The sequence below is a fragment of the Homo sapiens genome, chromosome 2, assembly GCF_000001405.40.
Source record: "Homo sapiens chromosome 2, GRCh38.p14 Primary Assembly".
Lineage (NCBI taxonomy): Eukaryota > Metazoa > Chordata > Mammalia > Primates > Hominidae > Homo > Homo sapiens.
The window spans coordinates 156555405-156575100 of NC_000002.12; the positions used below are offsets into that span (position 1 = coordinate 156555405).

Genomic DNA, 19696 nt, shown 5'->3' on the forward strand with positions numbered 1-19696 from the left:
TTATGATTAAATTTATCATGTTTATTATTTTAGACACATCATATGATGTCTAGTCCTTGATATAGTCATATAAAACATGTCAGCATATAATTCGTTTATCAATTGTTAGAATATAGAATTTTTTTGTTTCAATATACTTCTGTTTATCAAATAGAATGAACTCTGAGTGTTCTAATCTCATTTCTAATCTCAAAGTGACTGATGTAATCTAAGGACATATCAATCCAGGATCAAAAAATATACTTAGAAAACATGTGACTAGTTTCTTCTGAGATTTTTAGATAGTTTTATGATAAATACAAAGAAAAAATAATCATATTTAGAGAACAAAAATACTTGTTATTTGTAGTTTTCAATACATTAGAGTAAAAGTAAAATTATTTTCTCTAAGTAACCCTGAGTGAAGGTGGGACTCTGAGCTGAGGTTTAAATGATTGCAGACTTCCAGGGTGCTTTTTGGATTAGCTAAGTAGAAGAACTTCTACCTACTCTCTCCGATGTGTCTCAGATAGGCTGTGAACAGTGACTTCTTTCTGCTAAGGCTGAGTAGACATGGCAAGCGTTTCATGCGGCTGAGGGTTTTTTGAAGAGAAAGACTCACTCCTTGTGGTTTAAATAAAGAAGATACATTAGTTAAGCTGCCTATATGTTTCTTTTTTTATATAAAATATTATCATTATTTTTTACACAGTTGTTACCCTCTCATTTTTACACATTGGGATAAATCATTTTTTAAAACATGTTAAGGGAATGATGATAAAGATAAAAATCTGACTGTGTGTCTTTTTAAATTTTTGTGTAAGAGGAGTTTCTTGAAATTTGTTCAAACCAAATAGAATTACGTTTCCATATTAAAAAATAACATTAATAGAAGCTAAAAACATATTTATAGAAAATACTAGTAACACTGGCTTGATACAAGAATCCAGTCAAATAGAAGCAGCTATCTGAAGATTTGTAGTGTTCTACTTGAATAGGACACTTTAAGATTCCTCTCACTCTTTTAACAACATCTCCAAATTTCTTTGAATGGCTAAGGAATGAAATAAAACATCAGCTTTTAGTGATTTAAAAACAAAATGATGGGTTTTGTTAATGTTTGTTTACAGTTGTCTCTTCTTTCAAATATGTTTTATTATTTGATTTTAGAATAGTAAATATCAGTAAATATTTTTGACTATCGTTTTGGGAGATTTTATGTAGTCTTTCAGTAGAGGCAGCATTGTACCTTGATTTAACATAGTACACTACTAGTGTCTTTTATGTAAAAGATTTTCATTGCTAAAGTGTTCCTCTCCTGTTTGACCTTATCCTAGGACATTACTATTTAGGGAGTAGTAAAACATGGAGCTCTTTTCTTCTAGATGTACATTTTGAGATTTTTGTAACCTCGAAATAAAGTAGGAAATCTCATATTTGGTGAAGTGGCACAAGTTCATCTAGGCATAAAGTAGTAAAGAACTTTGTGATTACATTTTAGTTTCTAGAAAGGTAGACCCTTCACTTTCTTATGTACTCCTGAGAATTTCTACTGAGCGATGAAATGTCAAATGTCTCAGGAAAATACTTTGGCTATTCTTGAAAAAAGGCTGAAGACATATCCTTAATTTACCATTATAAAGGAAAGTATAGACATTTATCCTGCTGACATTATCTGATGTGAATGGTCCAAGGAGTATGAAACTCAAACAGTAGGAAGTTGAAGCCCACTTTCTTAATTAGCCTTGCATTGTTGAAGTGGGGAGGGAAGGGGTAGCTCTGCTGTGGAATATTGTTATCATCACATTTGTTTCATTCTGTTTTGTTATCTAAGTTATTTTTTTCTTTTAGGAGTTTCTAGATTAGGGTAGGGGAAGTGCAAGTAATAGTTCATATCTTTCTTGTTTGCATATTTGAGAATTAATGAATAAATAGTTTTTCGAATGCAGATTAATGTTAAACTTCTGGGATTTTCAGAAATAAATAATCCTTCTTTGTATCTCAGCCCAGAGAGCATGGGACTTCTTGACCCAGCGACCAGTGATGGGCGAGTTATTTTCTTCTTACCCTGGCAAAAGATGACGATCGCTGGCACTACTGATACTCCAACTGATGTTACACACCATCCAATTCCTTCAGAAGAAGATATCAACTTCATTTTGAATGAAGTGCGTAATTACCTGAGTTGTGATGTTGAAGGTAACTAAGCATTCCTTTAAGTTTGTCTCTCTGTGTCCATATCTCCCAAGCCATTCCAGCTCTCACTGGATAAATGCTATGTCTCCAGTCTGACTCATCTTCACACTTGTCCTCTTGTGCCTCTTAGAACATTTATGAGGGCCAAATTTTAACATAATGGGGAGAAATTGCCTTTTCTCCTCTACTTTCTATACCCACATGAAACTTATGCAGTCCTCTTCTGATAATTCCTAATGGCAAGATCAGAGTAGCCCCTCTAGCTCTGAACACTCATGTGCTTCCAGAAAACGATGAAATGTGTACATCACAGTTTAATTTCTGCAGCTTAGGAATGTCTAATTTACAGATGCAGGATATCAATAGGAAATAATTAAGCAAATAAACGAGAGGCTGGAACTGTATTTGTAAGATGCTTAATAGTCTGTTACTACATGGAAAGTATAATGTTGACCAGTGGGCTTAGCAAAGAAGGATAAGTTACTTATTTTAATGGAAAAAGCCAAAGTTTACTTCCTTCCTATTCTTACTGGGGCATTTCAACTTGACTGTCAGAGCATTTTCCTTGGTGATTTATATAGTTTTTTGTTTTTTTCATTCAGGCCAGTCTCAGAAGTTCCCCAACATTGTGCTTCTATATTTCCTCTCTCAGTTGAGTCTCACCATGCATCTAGTCACTCAAATTAGAAATGGTGTGCTTATTTTTGGTATCCTTTCTCTTTCCATATCCAGTCTAATGCCTATCTATGCTTATTCTGAATACCAGGCAGGTCCATCAGCCACTTCATTGCCCTGGTTCACATCTGTGCCATTTCTCACTTGAACAGTTGCATTGGCCCCACAATGGCCTCTTTAGGTCAGGTCTCTATCCCTCTCCAGTCTAATCCTTCTACCAGAATTTTCTTTCTAAAACACAATTCTGATCATCACTTTTCTGCACAAATATACACTTTAGATATCTTCTCATTGACTTTAGGAAAAATGCTAAATTCTCTTGCATGAAACATAAAGCTTTTTGTTTTGTTTTGTTTTGTTTGAGATGGAGTCTCACTCTGTCACCCAAGCTGGAGTGCAATGGTGTGATCTCAGCTCACTGCAATCTCTGCCTCCCAGGTTCAAGTGATTCTCCTGCCTCAGCCTCCCAAGTAGCTGGGATTACAGGTGCCCACCACCACGCCCAGCTAACTTTTTTTTTTTTTTTTTTTTTTTTTTTTTTTAAGTAGAGACAGTGTTTCACTATGTTGGCCAGGTTGGTCTCAAACTCCTGACCTCATGATCCACCGGCCTCGGCCTCCCAAAGTGCTGGGATTACAGGAGTGAGCCACCGTGCCTGGCCGAAACATAAGGCTTTTTACAACTTGTCTTTGCATGTTTATATTCAACTACTCCCCATCCCTGCATTCTGTGGTCTAATCATGTCTTATTAGGGTGAATATTGTTTTATTAGGTTTCATGTCTTATTATGTTGAATCTTCGTGTCTAATTTAGGTTGAAGCCTTGCTCTGGGACACCCTTTTCCCCAACTCTTCATCTTGGCAAAATTTTTATACTGGAGAAACCACCTATTCTTTGTATTCCTGTGGGATGTTGGTCATATCGTTTGTATATCACAACATTATATTATAGGTAATAGTCCAAGATGTATTCTCACTTGAAGCTCCTTGAGGGTAAAGATTCTTTATTTGTGTTTAGCTACAAATCTTGATTATCTTATTTGTATGCTACTCATGATTGTTTTGAATTAAAATAAGTTAGTTATGGATTCATGGTTTTTGATATGGTAGCCATTTGAAAATCTATATTAAAGTATACAAGTTTACGATTAAAAATAATCTTCATATATTTATATCAGAAATCTTATAATGTTGATGTCAGTGAAGGACATGGAAAAGCACTATGTTAGTCTGAATGCAACTCACTAGCATCTGTGTATCCTTTTTCCCCAAAGGATTTTTTTTTGGTTATGTGATCACATTTGTAAACAAAATGCTTCAAAACTGCTTCAAAAATGGTTCAGGTGACTCCTAGTTTAATTGACTAATCCATATTGTATAGTATTAATTGCTTTTAATCTAAAGTAATGGATGTAATTTCATTCTTAAGAGTCTCTTTGGATATCTACAATAATAGTATAAAAGATACTAAATACATATCATTGAAATCCATGTGTGGTTAAGGTTTATACTCACACACATACACACTCATACATGGTATTTGAAAAATAGTTTGACTTGTTTAACATCCATGTTTAAATACTGAAACTGCATTACAATTTTAGCTTGGTACTTTTTTTTCATTTTGTGTTCTAGGAGGAGCTTCAACATTGGATTATGATTATATTTTAACATATTCATTATTGTTAATGAATCTTCCTTCATTTGTAATTTATCTGTATATAATATTTGTTGAAAGTGGGTTTATATCTGGGCCTGAAGATCAGGAAGTTTAGATTGTTGGAGCAAGATATAAAATTAATTCAAGAGCAGAGAACTCAATGTTGACAGTTTCCAAAATCTTAAAGTTCAAATGCAGCGAGGATGAGAAATGTAACTCCTTATCCTGCTAAGAAGCTGGATGTGCTGGAAGCAGGTGTGGGTTCCAGAAGGCTGCCGTGCCCATATTGTGGGTGGGGATCTCTACCCGTGAAGTGAGCGTGGGGCTTTAACGGAGACTGGATCACTTATGTTCTACCTATAAATACATGGAAGACTTGGCATACCTGGTTGGTCCATAAAAGTCTTTTCAATTAACATACCATTTTGTAGTCAGCGAATTGGTGAAACTAACAAATAGTTATTGTTAATTCTGATGTTTGATAAGAGTGTTTGAAATTAATATCTAAACATTGCAAACCAGGTCTTCCTCCTGGTGATCTGGGGACATCTTGAGATTAAGAGTCCTCCAGGGTAAAAAGCAGAAATGACAGCCCTTTCCTAGACTTTATTGATTTCCCTGTGTGCGGCACCTGTCACAACTTTTCTACTTATAAACTTACTCTTCAAAAAATAGTTAACAGTGATTCTTTATAGCTTCTTTTCATTCTTATTTCTAATTGACTGAAATATTCATATTTGAGGAATTATGCTTGATCTTAGTAAAGAGTATCAGTTAGCTGAAGTTTGTCTATATCTTAAAATGAGGCCAGTCAAATCCATATTTTTTCTCAAGGAATTTTGGTGAAAGCCACTATTCTCTTCTAGGCTGATGAAATGTGAAAGAGAAGCTCAGCTTTAGCCACCATTCAGTTATTCAATTACATGCTACTGTTAAACATATTTTAATATTTATAGTTATATGCCTCATTTTTAAAAACTTCCTATTATTGAGCACTTCTTATGTGAGACACTGCTAAGCAAGCATATTACCTGTTAGATCTTTGATTCCTCCTTAACAACCTTATGAGATTTATTTAATAAGTCCCACTTTCTAGTTGAAGAAACTGAGGCCCAGTGACATTAAGCTTTTTTTTTTTTTTTTTTTTTTTTTGAGATGGATTCTCACTTTGTAGCTCAGGCTGGTATGCAGTGGTGTGATCTCGGCTCACTGCAACTTCCGCCTCCTGGGTTGAAGCAATTCTCCTGCCTCAGCCTCCTGAGTAGCTGGGATTACAGGCACACGCCACCACACCCGGCTAATTTTTGTATTTTTAGTACAGACTGTGTTTCACCATGTTGGTCAGGCTGGTCTCGAACTCCTGACCTCGTGATCCACCCGCCTTGGCCTCCCAAAGTGCTGGGATTACAGGTGTGAGCCACCGCGCCCAGCCTAAGCTTTTTGCCTATAGCTAGTTAGTATTGGAGCCATAATTTGAGTATAAGTAAGTCTGGTTCTAATACTTGTGCTTCTAAATATTGTGCAGTACTCTGATTGTTCGTTCTGGGTTTCCTGATGGGATACTATGTGCACTAGGGAGTGGTAAGCTTATCAATTCATTTCATGGAAGCTGCTAGATACCTTTAGCATGACAATGACCTTTGCTCTGCACTGACCTTATTTGAATTTGAATGTTAAACTAGAGGAGGTTTCCTGTCTCATAACTAATCCCTTGGGCCAGTCTTCTTTACAGATTTAAAAAATAAAATTTCATTTAGATCCTAGAGCAATAGTTTTGAAGTGTTTTACATTCACCAGGGTTGAAATAATCATTCTAAAAGGATTTATTAAATGGGTAAGTAAAATTCCAACAACAGTTTCTGAGCCTCCCCAAATGGCTATATCCTTAAGAAAAAAAAGTGTCAAATCTTAACACTCCATGCTATTCACAGCAGCTGCCACACTTCTGCAAAATGCGTCGGAACAATTCTGAAAAGCATTTTGCCTGTTGGGAATAAGACCATGTCTTCTTTTACAATTTAGAAAGCTTTCCATTCACAGGCTGAATTTTCTAGATTACTTGTTTGTTCTTTTCTGAAATGGGTAATTGATAGTTCTGCGTTTCATATTGAGTTAGGAAGAAAAATGATCTTTTGAAAAATGTATCATTAAGTCTGCTGTGTAGAGGTTAATCAGAAGGATGCAGTGACAAAACTAAGCTATGACTTAACAGGATTGAGAGAGACAGAAGATTTGCTGAGTGCTTTATCCATGTAGTTTTTCCTGGAGTACTTCTTTAGGCAGCTTCTCTACTTGTACACAGGTTTTCACATAGGCAATTAGTAGTGTTTATAGATTGCCTGTTATTCAATTAACAACTGAGCTGGCCATATCAACTCACTGCAGACCTGCCTTTTCATTGCCAGAGATTGTACCAGGGTTATCAACTTACACAGGCTTGGATGTCTTCCAGCTGTTTAATTATAGTGTCACACGCTTTGCTTTTTCTAGTTTCATTAGTTTATAAATGTAATATGGTATCTTATTTCTGTGATTAACACTTCATTTCAGCAGGTTAAACATGCTGGTAGAGAAGTATTGATTTCTGACACTATTTCCCCTGTGTTCATTTAGATATTTTCACATGCCTTTTATTGATTGTTTTTTGAAAGTGGCAAACATGAAAAAAAAACCCCCAAAACATATGCCTAAATAACTAATGTGAAGCTAAACCGCACATTTACCTCTTAATTGTCACTTCCTGTGGGCTTTATTTTCTACTAATTTTTAAAACAAACACTTATCTTGCCAAGTATGAGTAAAAATATGAATTATAGTTTGAAATAATCACATCATACTTAATTTTTTCAATTAGCCGTGAAAATTGTCTGTTCAACTTTTCTATTTATATTTTACCCTTTACATATTACATTACTAAAATCTGAATGAGTTATTTTTTGGGAATGTAATACAAATGATTCTTAAACATGATGGTAAGAGTATTTTACTTTAATATTGCCAAGTACTTTTATAGTTGTCACTTAAAAAATTAACTGGGTGCCCTCTAGGTGAGCCAGTCTAGTAAGTGGTCTTTAATGATGGATTTTTCTCAACTTTATTTAATAGTAGTTTTTTTCTTTCATCTTGTTTTATTTAAAGCATTCATGTAATTTGGAAGGGAATATCCAGTTGTTCAATATATAGTCACTAGAAACCTACATGAAGCCTAGCATATTATCTCAGAGGCCCAAGCGTTCTTGCTTTGGTTTTGGTAATACCAGCTCTTATAGTTTGATATAAAAAGTTTAGAGAATGCTTTAATATTCCACTTAATATTTACTGATAACTGTATATGACCCTTTACTAGATACAGTATTTGGGGTATTGAAAAATATTATAATTGACACTGCTGGAGACTTTCAGCATGGTGAGAAAGAGATGAAGCAATAATGAAATTTTGTTAAGCTATCCTGGCAGTATGAGAACTAGAAAAAATTTGAGCTGTAAAGCATAGAGGCCATGAGTTATGTTATTTTCTTCACATGTTATACCATGGACAGTTAAAGTGGGTGATGGTCATTTATTAATCTTGACTGTAACCTGTATGGTAAAACTGGTTTCTGGGTGAGAACTTGAGGGTGGAAGTACTTAATTGAATGAAAATATGTTTCATTTGTTTGAATTTATGAAATTAGCAAGAGAGGAGGAAAGCTTGAAATGGTACATATTGACATGAGTGACAATAAAGTGTTTAGGAGCTATTACAGCAGATTTTATTTTATTCTCATGAGCAAAGGAAGTGCAGTCCAATTTCAGTGAAAGGATGCTCCGTTGGAGATGTAGGCAAGGTGGCCAGTAGAAATAACTAGCTTAATCTACCAGACAAGTCTGAGATCTACTGCTTGGAGGCTTTTTACTGTAGAGCTGCTCTGTGCTATATGATAGCCATCAGCCACTTGTAGTTATTTAAATTTAAATTAGTTACAATTAACTGAAATTTGAAATTCAGTTGCTCAGTCAGGTGAACCACATTTCAAGCGCTTAATAACCACATGCTACTAATGGCTAGCGAATTGGATCGTGGAGCTATGTACAGAATGTCTCCATCTCTGCAGTAAAGTCCATGGGACAGTGCTGATCTTGAGAATCTAGAGGTGTTTAAATATACACTTAGAGAAAGACATACTAAATTTAATAGAATCGTTGAATTTGGGTTTTTTTGTTTGTTAAGTAAAATAGAGAAATTCATTATCTTGTAAAACAAGAACTCCAGACACAACAAGCCTCAAGAGGTGATTAATGATTTGTCAGGGTCTAAGATATATTACTCTTATTTATCTTCACTCTGCCATCCTCCAAGGTGGTTTCATCCTAAGGTTGTTTCCCCTGTGGTTACCTCATGGCTGCAACAGCAGCATGCAGAATTTATAGATATCCCAATGATACTTTATTCAGACTAGCATCTACTACCTTGAATCTTTCTTGAAAAAACTTTCGTTAGGGTTTAACAATGTACAAAATTTCCACTGTGGGTAAATACGTGATATGGAGAGGAACCTGTTAGCTTCGTCAGTTGCTGTCTTTTATTCAAGAAGTTGGAATTAATGTCTCACATGTTTAGCTGTGCTGTGCCCCTTAGACATGGATTATACCCAAGGTCCTGAGGAGTCATTACTGAATGAGTGGTGAGGAGGTATAAGCTCTTAATACTTCAGTGGCAAATAGAGTTTTGAATCATCCATAAAAACCATTACATCTCAAGGTTGGGAGGGGAACTGTTGTAGATAACCTGATCCAACCACCTTCTGGTCTAATACTGTACAAATCCTGTAGGCCATAAAGACTAATTCATATTTTAAATAAGGAAATTTGATCATCCTTAAATGTATTATTTTTAATAAATTTATTCCCAACATTCAACTGATATAATTCTCAGGCTAAAAAGCTGAATCCTAAGATGTCAAGCAAAGTAAATTAAAGTTCTTAACACATTATGAACCCTTTGTGACTCGGAATCTTTTCTTAACTCTTTTTTATTTTTGACTATCAACTCCAGGAGTATTAAAAATGGTATCAATATAGATAATGTTTTACATAGTGTTCCTGGATGAATGAAAAACTTGAATGTTTCAGTTTCAGACAATACAATTTCATAGATGTGCTTTTCTGCCTGTTATAACAGAAAAGGTAAGGCATTTGCCACAGATTATTTGCATATGCCTCAAATTTACTCGCAAAGCCTAATTTTCCATCAAATAACTTTAAAATTAGTCAGAGAGCTTCAAGAGTTGGAACCAAATTCCTGATCAGTGTGGCTACCTAAGGAATTTCACAGACACTAGAGGGACTGTGGGGTGACCACAATGACGTTGTAAGCGGGTTTGCTAACTTTTATTTTTATCTCAGAGGGTGATGTGAACTCTAATGGAAAATAGTGGTAATTTCCTAGTTAGGTTTTTGGTAACGATTAAAACACTTTTTACAACTTGTTTTGAGGTTTTATATGACTGGTAAAATTGTGTAAAGCAGGAATTAATCCCCATTCCACAGAAGCCATCCAGATTAAATCTATTTAAGAGAATGCACACATCAGAGGGGGCAGAGCTAGAGATGGAATCCCAGCATTGAGATCCTGTATTGTCTCCAGTTAGTAAGACTGAGAAGGCTTAGGCTTTCCTCGCCAGTTAATTATGTTGGTATTTCAGTTACAGTGTTTGGATTATGGGTTTGATTAAACATCCTGTAGAGGTGATGGGTATCTACTCTTTCAGATTATAGTTATGTCAAGAGTGTAGCCTTTAAGAATCTATAGTAAAATATGCCAGATTAACTTGAGTTGAATTTATTTTTAGCAGAAACCTATTATTCATTTTAGATCAAGATGGAGAAATTATCTGTCATCCAACATAGCTTGTTTTGCTTATACTTGGTAAGGCATGGTTTTGTTTTATTTTGTTTTGCTTCAGTAAGAACTGTTCCAATCATTTCAAGGAGTCTTTGTGACTTTTTACACAAAGAGTCTGCTAGATATATACCTAACTACTTTTCAAGTGGTGTTGTATATAAATATACAGGATGTTTACTGTACAAAGGCACATGACCAAGGGTTGAGTGGAAACTGAAATCCAGCCCTGCCCTCTGCTCACAAAACTGTGATCCCTGAATGGGATTTATGGATTTGAACTAAAACATGGACATGGTATGGGCTAATAAAGGTCCTGATACTTCCATATTCTATGTAAAATATTTCCTTAACCCTTTCGTAATTTGAGACTTGAATTATATCAGTTTATCCTTTTATCTTGATTTTTAGATTATGGTTAAATATGCAGAACATAAAATTTACCATTTTAACCATTTTTAAGTGTACAGTTCTGTGGCATTACGTACATTCACATTGTCATGCAACCATCACCACCTTCCATCTCCAGAACATTTTTGTCTTCCTCAACTGAAATTCTGTAACCATTCAATAGTAACTCTTATTCCCCCTCTCCCAACCCCTTGGCAACTACCATTCTACTTTCTGCTCCTATGAGTTTGAGTACGCCAAGTACCTCATAGAAGTGCAATTGTACAATATTTGTCCTCTTGTGACTGGATTATTTATTTAGCACAATGTCTTCAAGGTTCATCCATGTTGCATGTGTCAGAATTTTCTTCCTTTTTAAGGCTAGATAATAGTTCGTTGTAAGTGTATGTTACATTTTGTTTATTCATCTGTTGATGGACACTTGGTTTGCTTCTACCTTTTGGCTATTGTTAGTAATGCTATGAACAAGGTTGTAAAACTTTTCTCTGCTCCATTTCTTTGGAGTATATACCCAGAAGTGTAATTGCTAGATCTTATGGTAATTCTAAATGTTTAATTTTTGAGGAATCGCCATACATTTTTGATAGTAGCTGCACCATTTTACCTTCTAACCAGCAGTGTACAGGGGGTTCAGTTTCTCCACATCTTCACCAGTATTTGTTATTTTCTGTTTCGTTTTGTTTTTGTTTGATAATATCCATTTTAATGGGTGTGAAGTGGTATCTCATTGTGGTTTTCATTTGCATTTCCCGAATCATTAGTGATGTTTACTATCTTTTAATGTGCTTATTGAGCATTTGTATATCTTTTTTGGAGAAATATTTATTGAAGTCTTTCATTTTTTAATTCAAGTTGTTTGCTTTTTGTTGTTGCATTTTAGGAATTTCTCATATGTTCTGCATATATGATATATTCTTATCAGTATATGATTTACCGGTATTTTCTCTATTCTATGAGGTACCTTTTCATTCTGTTAATAGTGTCTTTTTAATGTTGATGAAGTGTGTTTTATCTATTTTTTTCTTTTGTTGCCTGTGCTTTTGATGTCACATCCAAGAAACTATTGACAAATCTAGTGTCATAAAGCTCTTCTTATATGTTTTCTTCTGAGTTTTATAGTTTTAGCTCTTATGTTTAGGCCTTTGATGCATTATGAGTAAATTTTTGTATACGATATAAGATAAGGGTCCACCTTCATTCTTTCACATGTGGAGATCCAGTTTTCCCATTATCTTGAAGTTTTCAAGACTATATACAGTCAATTTTTTATCAGTATGGGTAATTGCTGGGAGTATGATGAAGAAGGAGGGCACACATGACCCCAAGTCACAGTTGAAGCAAAATTATACTCATGTTTCTGTTATCCAGCGATGGATTAGCTGATTTACCACAATAAATGCAGCAGGACCAGGTAGGCATTATTTTCCCAGTAGTCTATATCATCAGGCAACTTTCAGTCTGGTGCCCATAGTCAGCTCCCATAGCTAAGCCATTCCTGAAGCTGGTCTACATGAAGAAGGGCAGATTCCGAAAATTCTGCCCTAGGGTCTTGCCCTTGTACCTGATAGATGAGAACCATAGCTCACCTTCTCTCTTAAGTCATTTTTAGATTAGTAATGAGTGCTGTTCAACAGCTGTCTAATTCTAATGAAAACTTAATCAGCCTGGATATAGTTGGGCATTGTATTTTGACAGAGATAGTAAAGATATTTTCATGGCATCTTGAGTATTGAAAGAACTTCCATATAATATAATTCAAGTATAATGTACCTACTGGGAGAAGCCAGTATACCTGTTTCTGTGTCAGTGCTAAAAATAATGGAATGAGAAAAGAAAAAAGGCAGAGTATGGAAGTTGTCAGAAGTTGAGAGACAGTACAATTTAAGAGGTAAGAATATGGACCTTAAACTCAGAAGGAAGAAGGTTCTGATGCTGTTTTACCATATATAAGATATTTGCCTTGGCCAGGTTTGTTGCCCAGCTTGGTTTGTTAAATGTTTGCATTCATCTGTTTTCTGATCTGTATGGTGAGAATAATAATAACCAATGCTATAGGGCTTTGTGAGATTAAATGAGATGTCTATGTCAAGTGTTTGCACAGTGGTAGGCCTGCTGTAAACACTCAGGAAGAGGGTGGTATTGATGAGGGGAGAAAATATAATATCCTGTTACAGGTTTGTTTAATTTAATAAGGATCTTTGTCTTCCCTGAGAAGAGATAGGAAGATGTATTCTAGAAGGAAATTTAACAATTCATGCATCGTTAGCATTGGTTTTGATTGTTTCTGCTTTTTTTTCTTTCTTGTTTTTCTAACTGCTCCAGGTTGCTTCAGCTGGAAGGTTGCTAACATTTGCCTCTTTTGCTTCCTCTGTGGTATCAATGTCAGTGATTTCCAAAGTTCTTTACTTTTTCATGGAAATTATCTTTGTAACAGAATAATTCTTTATGAGTTTTTCTTGTACCTATCCACAAACTTAGTTCTCATCTTTAGGCTTTCTCTCCTTTTTAAAGTGCACACATGTGTATTCCTGTCACCGAACTCTTTTTATTAACTGTTTAATATTTTTATCAAAATATTTTTGAGCAATGTTCATAACCCTTGGCATTGATTCCTACCAGTGAGAAGAGGGGATGTCCTGGCAGCATGGAGTGGAATCCGTCCTCTTGTTACAGACCCCAAATCTGCAGATACTCAGTCTATCTCCCGAAATCATGTTGTTGATATCAGTGAGAGTGGCCTTATTACTATAGCAGGTATGAGATACTACCTTGTTATTTTCTTTTCTTTTTTTTTTTTTTTTGTTATAGGGACAGGGTCTCACCATGTTGCCCAGGAGGGTCTTGAACTCCTGGACTAAGGTGATTCTCCCACCTCAGCCTCCCAAAGTGTTGGGATTACAGGCATGAGCCACTACACCTGGCCTTCTGTCTTGTAATTTGGATGTGCTTTAGATATAAGTTTGACTTAAATTGTCCTGCCAGAATCTCTTTTAACTTTATTGAACAAGCATTTTTTTTATTCTGAATTAAGTTTTACACAATCCCATGTTTGTTACAAACAACAGGAAAATTTTGTTATTGGTAAGTTGATAAATGGTTAATTATAAGAAAAATAAGGGGTGGCAACCTGATGAATTGTCTATCAATTTCTTTATAGGTGGAAAGTGGACAACTTATCGGTCTATGGCAGAAGATACCATAAATGCTGCTGTCAAAACTCATAATTTAAAAGCAGGACCAAGTAGAACAGTTGGGCTTTTCCTTCAAGGGGGTAAAGATTGGAGCCCCACACTCTACATTAGGCTTGTGCAGGATTATGGACTTGAAAGCGAGGTGAGTGTGCATTGCCACATCATCTTACTCTTTACCTAATCTCTCACTGCTGCCAGTGACAGAACTGGCAGCAATCAGGTCTCCCTGATTGAGATTTCCTTTTGCTGAATACATTTCTGCCAGTCTGTTATGGAAGGAAAAAAAGATGATCTTGCTTTGCTTTACTTGCCCAACAAGCAATGTACACTTTATGAAATGTATTTTATTAAAAAGTGGAGTTTATTTGGTTTGTTTCTAGTGTATAGGGCATCCCAAATTCTGTCTCAGGCATGAAGAAGGCTGTTCTTCAGAAGTGGTATCAGGAGCAAAATGAAGCTGAAGCTTCATCAGTCATTGATGCAGTGATACATGTGTAAGAGAGTTAGTGCTGGCCTAAGCATTCGAAGCCCAAGTGGTTTCCTTCCACAAAATCAAAATATAATACTCTCCGAGAGCTATTAGTTACAGGCTGTAAGAAAACTGACAAGATAAGCATGTGTGCTTTTTGCTTTGTGCCTAGAAGCTATTGATATTCAAAGTGCCTGCCTAACGCAGCTTTATTTCTCTAGGTGGCACAGCATCTTGCCGCCACCTATGGTGATAAGGCCTTTGAGGTGGCCAAAATGGCAAGTGTGACTGGCAAAAGGTGGCCTATTGTTGGAGTACGTCTTGTGTCAGAATTTCCATATATTGAAGCAGAGGTATGTGAATGGTCACATAGGAATTTCATGTCTGCCATGGGATACCATTTATCTGTTCATTTGTCATCTTTAAAAATTATATGTAGCTAAGTTTTAATGCACATATGTCAGCTAAAACCAGGACTACTATGTCTTTCCAATATAGATCCTTTTATTTATAAAATTTTAATCTTAATTCTGAAGTGATATTGATAGTGGTAATAATAACAACATAAAATATAGGTTTCTTTTTTCTCCATCAAACTGTCCCTAAACGTGTTAATTCACAGTTGTCCCTTTTGTGCATTTGCAGCTCTTTAAGTTTGTACCACTCATGTCCTACCTACATATCTTGTGACAGTTTCTCAAAGGTTTAGGTCTTGTTTCCCATCAAGCTCTCCAGTTTTGTGAAATCAGAGACCAGGCTTTGTATTTATTTGTAATTCACTGTGCCTTAAAATATCGATGTCCAGTGAACATTTACTTGTTGATTGAATTCAGGATTCCTATATTCTGGTTACTCTAAGACAAAAAACTATACAGACTAAAGAGGTGAGATCATAACTTTTTGACACTCGTCCTTTTCCTAGTCAGCTATGTAAATTAAAATCCACATTATGTATAAGCATAGAGAGGTAAGTGATGACTGTGGATGGTTAATGAGAAGTGATGCAATTTGCATGTTTATGCCAGGTTCTATTCAGGAAAAAGGCATTAACTCTTGTCCAATTTTTGCCATTTTCCAAACCTCCTTTGGCAGGCAGATGGAAAACTTGTGTGATGCCACTATTTGTCTCATGCCTGCTGGAGGACCAGAGAGTATAAAGAAAAATATTACCTTTGTGAAGCACACATTTATTTTTTTTAAGTGAAGCTTTATTTCTCATTTTCTAAAGAAGAGTCTCAACTAATAATTTTTCTTTAATTCAAACTCAGGTGAAATATGGGATTAAGGAGTATGCCTGCACTGCTGTGGATATGATTTCACGTCGTACTCGCCTGGCCTTTCTAAATGTCCAGGCAGCAGAGGAAGCCCTACCCAGGATTGTTGAACTGATGGGCAGGGAACTGAATTGGGATGATTATAAGAAGCAGGTATTATATAGAAGTCTTTAAAACCACAATTCCTATTGTAAACGCGGAATGGCTTAATTTGTTAGTAGAAGCTAGCGTAGTTTTTGATGATAACCTTAGATTTCTTACCAGTTTTTCTTTGTGTGTGTTTAATATTGTTAGGCCTTAGGAAAATGGAAAGATATTCCATTTAAATTTAGTTGTTTATGGAAAATCTCTTGTAGAAAATGCTCATAAATTTGTGGTCATAATTCCTGAAAAAGAAAGATAATAATGATTGTAGTATGGAACCTTTTCTGGTTTTCATTGAAAACACTCTTGGAACATAATCAGTGAAATGCAAACTCCTGCTAGTGTGCCTTTGGTAAGAAATGTGGTTTTTCTGCCTGAGCACTAAATGCTTATCATTTGTGTCATTTGAGATTTTATATTTATATTCCAAATTTTAAAAGCTGGTGATGCTCAGATGCATACACACACACACGCACAACACATACATACATACATATACACGCACACAAACACACATACAGGGTTAGGCTAAGTAGATCTTTATGTTTTTTAATTAACCCAAACTCTTGTGATATGCAGAGGGTAATGAAGCATTTTTATATATTCATAAAATACTTTCTGTATTCATTGGGTTCTGTTCCTTTCTCCCAGGATCTCTTGAACCCATTTCATTTAGGCACTTTTGCCACCACTTTGCTGCATTAGCTCTGGTCAATCTCACCAGTAACCTCCATGTTACTCAATAAATTTGTTAACTTGCAGTCCTTGTTTTACTTGGCCAATTAGCAGCATTTGACACAATTGATTCCCCCTTCCTTCTTGAACAATATTTTGCTTTCTGGAACACCACCTCTCTTGGATCTCCTTTTACCTTCCCAAAACTACTACTCCTATAGACTTTTCCATGTCATAAATAGCTATCCTTCAGTTACTCAAGCCTAAACATTAGTATCATACTTTATGCATTCTCTTATACCCTATCTAAATCCATCAGCAAATCATACCATATTTATGTTTAAATAACTGAATTCAACCCTTTCATTTAAAAAATTATTTTATTTTTAATTTTTTTTTAACAAACACTTGTGTTGAAGTGAATTCAACCGTTTCTTAACACATCCAACTTCCATCACCCTGATTCAGGTCACCGGTATCTGTCACATGGATTACCGCAATAGCTTCCCTCCCCTTAACTGGTGTCCCTTCTTTAACAACTTCAGAGTTCAGTTTATTAATACAAATCCAGATCATTGGATATGTCTGTGTGAAATTCAAAGGGAAGGCTTGGGCTAGAGATATAAATTTGAGTTGATATTTAAGCCATCAGACTGGATGAGATTATATAGGGAGTTAATGTAGTCAGATGATGAAAACAGTCCAAAGGCCAAGCACTGGAGCACACCAAAGTTTAGAAGCATAGGATATAAGGAAGAATCCAGGAAAAAGAGAAAATAATAGCTAGTGAGGCTAGAGGAGGTGTAAGAAGATGCAAGAGGGAGTTTTGACCTAGAAGGTAAGACAGTATATCTTAGTTCATTTGGGCTGCTATAACAGAAATACCATAGACTGGGTGGCTTAAACAACAAACATTTATTTCTCATGGTTCTGGAGGCTGGGAAGTCCAAGATCAAGGCATCAGTAGATTTGGGATCTGGTGGGGGCCTGTGTCCTAGTTTATAGACAAACATTGTATTGCTGTGTTCTCACATAGCATGAGTGAATGAACATTATTGGGCATCTATGATACATGCTGACAGTGCAAGGAAAGAATTAGTCACATGGCCTGTTTTTAAAGTATTCTCATTCTGGTATAGATTTCCAAAGATGATTACATATCAGTCACCTGGGAAATGTGGGAGGAAAGGGTTTGATTTTAGGAGTTCCTTAATCCTGATCATGCCTCTGACAGGGATAAAATTTACCCCCATGTTATAGCTGAGAAAACAGGTTCACAGAGTAGGACTCTTTTCAGAGTTTATATCAACAGTCAATTGTAAAGCAGGGATTGAAACCAGGTATTCTGATCCTAGAGCATAAGCTTTCTCCATCCTGTCTTGCTGTGTCTGCATTAGCTGTACTGGTTTATAGCTGTTGAAGAAGTCTTGAGCTTTAGTTTGATTAGCTAAAGCTCCGTACAGAGGCAGCACAGGAATGAAACTTACTCCTGTGCTTCTGTCAGTCCTTTTTACCATATAGAAGGATTGGGGATAATGTGTCCTTCCAAAAATTATGGTCGGAATGATTTGAATATGCAGGAACATATTTTATGCTAGGAATTCAGGCTGTAGGAGGTAGGAAGGAGGAAGAAAATTCTGTAAACTGGTTGTGTTTGGCCCTACTAAGGAAGCTAGATTTAACTTCAGTTCATATTTTATGAACAGATTTATGTGCTCAGAAATGCTCTCCCATCCCCCTTAACAAAGTAACATAAATAAAGACCTAAAGCTATTACTCAGTATCTGAGATGTAGGAGTATTAATGAGAGCTGTGGACAGTCTAGAGAGAACAAAGGAGTGGGGAGAAAGAATTAAAAGGTTAGAAAGTTGGACTTCTGAGAAAAGGTTAAAAGCATTGGGATTATTTAACCTGCAAAAGTGAAAGAGGAACAAGGTGATAAATAACTCTCCGTAGATGAACTGTGCTTGTTTTTACCAGTCAATACTTAATGAGTGACTTGTATACTGAACATTGCACCAAATATTTTAGGAGAATACTAAATAGCTCATAGTTTTAAGATCTTAAAATCTAATTGGGTTGTTATAACACATGTATAGCTCTGGCATTTATGCATAGTTTCCAAAATTTGGAGAAATATTTCGAGAAACTGTCACTCAAGACCAAAATCCAACCAACTTGGAAGAACTGATTAGGGAAGAAGGCAATGTCTTAGGGAGTTGGGGATTGTTAGAGGAGTTGGCAGGAACATTTAGAGAAAAAAAAAAACATTGCCAAATTGTGTTCTGCAGGGTACAAATTAATATACTTGAAAGGATGACTACATGGTCAAAAGAGAAATTCTGAGTTAAACAAGTAAAACCACTTCCTTTAGTGCAATTGCAATTAGAACCTTTAAAATGGTTATGTATGTTTTCAGTTTCCAAAAAGGAACTTATTGGAGACAGACCCAATTCTCACTTTTTGGGAGAACTGGGTAGGAAGGGAGCTAGTACTTAGAACATATTTTGGGAAATGCTGCCCCATAGGATTTGATAAGGTGGATTTTATCATGTTCAGACAAAAGATCCATTTTTCATTCAGAGACTATAAAGAGAAAACATGTAAGTAGACTGAGAGTCTCACAAAAATACATTTTTTTTTTTCAAAATTGATTCCAATGAGGAGGAAAAATGGGAGGCATGTGAAGACTTTGAGTGGCTGATTAAAGCAAGCTGATAAATACCAAATGTAAAACAGATAGAAGCCAAGTGCTCAACAATGAAAGGAGCGATATCAGGAATAATGTGGATGTGTATGAGTAGTGTCAGGTATTGTTTGGGTGTTGGGGAAAAAATACTTAGGGCACCAAATGTAATGTTTAAAAGTTGAAGAAAAAAACAAAAGCAAATAAGACCTAATCTAGATCATTGCTTAAGGTGGCAGGCATCATATTCTTGAATGCTGGAGAGTAAGGAGAACTATTCAATTTATAATTTACTACCAATGTCTTTTTCCTTCTCTCTCCCTGTTTTTATGTGTGAAAAGAGCAAAATATAAATGTTGGTAAGAATGAATAGATATTGAAATAGGAGGCTACTCTGAATGAGTTTTATGCCAGTCCAGAAAAATTATACCTTAGAGTACTCAGAGAATTTGCAGT

The 19696-nt window shown here is 35.7% G+C and overlaps 1 protein-coding gene across 10 annotated transcripts in view; it reads left to right on the forward strand.

The window, feature by feature from the left end:
- The window catches only part of GPD2 (glycerol-3-phosphate dehydrogenase 2), a 186123-nt gene that overhangs the window by 155124 nt on the left and 11303 nt on the right, over positions 1-19696 (forward strand). For all 10 annotated transcript variants that reach the window (XM_047443963.1, XM_011510977.3, NM_001083112.3 and 7 more), the window contains 5 exons: positions 1985-2178; positions 13421-13555; positions 13959-14134; positions 14683-14814; positions 15730-15888. In XM_047443963.1, the coding sequence (XP_047299919.1) occupies positions 1985-2178; positions 13421-13555; positions 13959-14134; positions 14683-14814; positions 15730-15888 (796 nt within the window). The remainder of the gene's footprint in view (positions 1-1984; positions 2179-13420; positions 13556-13958; positions 14135-14682; positions 14815-15729; positions 15889-19696) is intronic.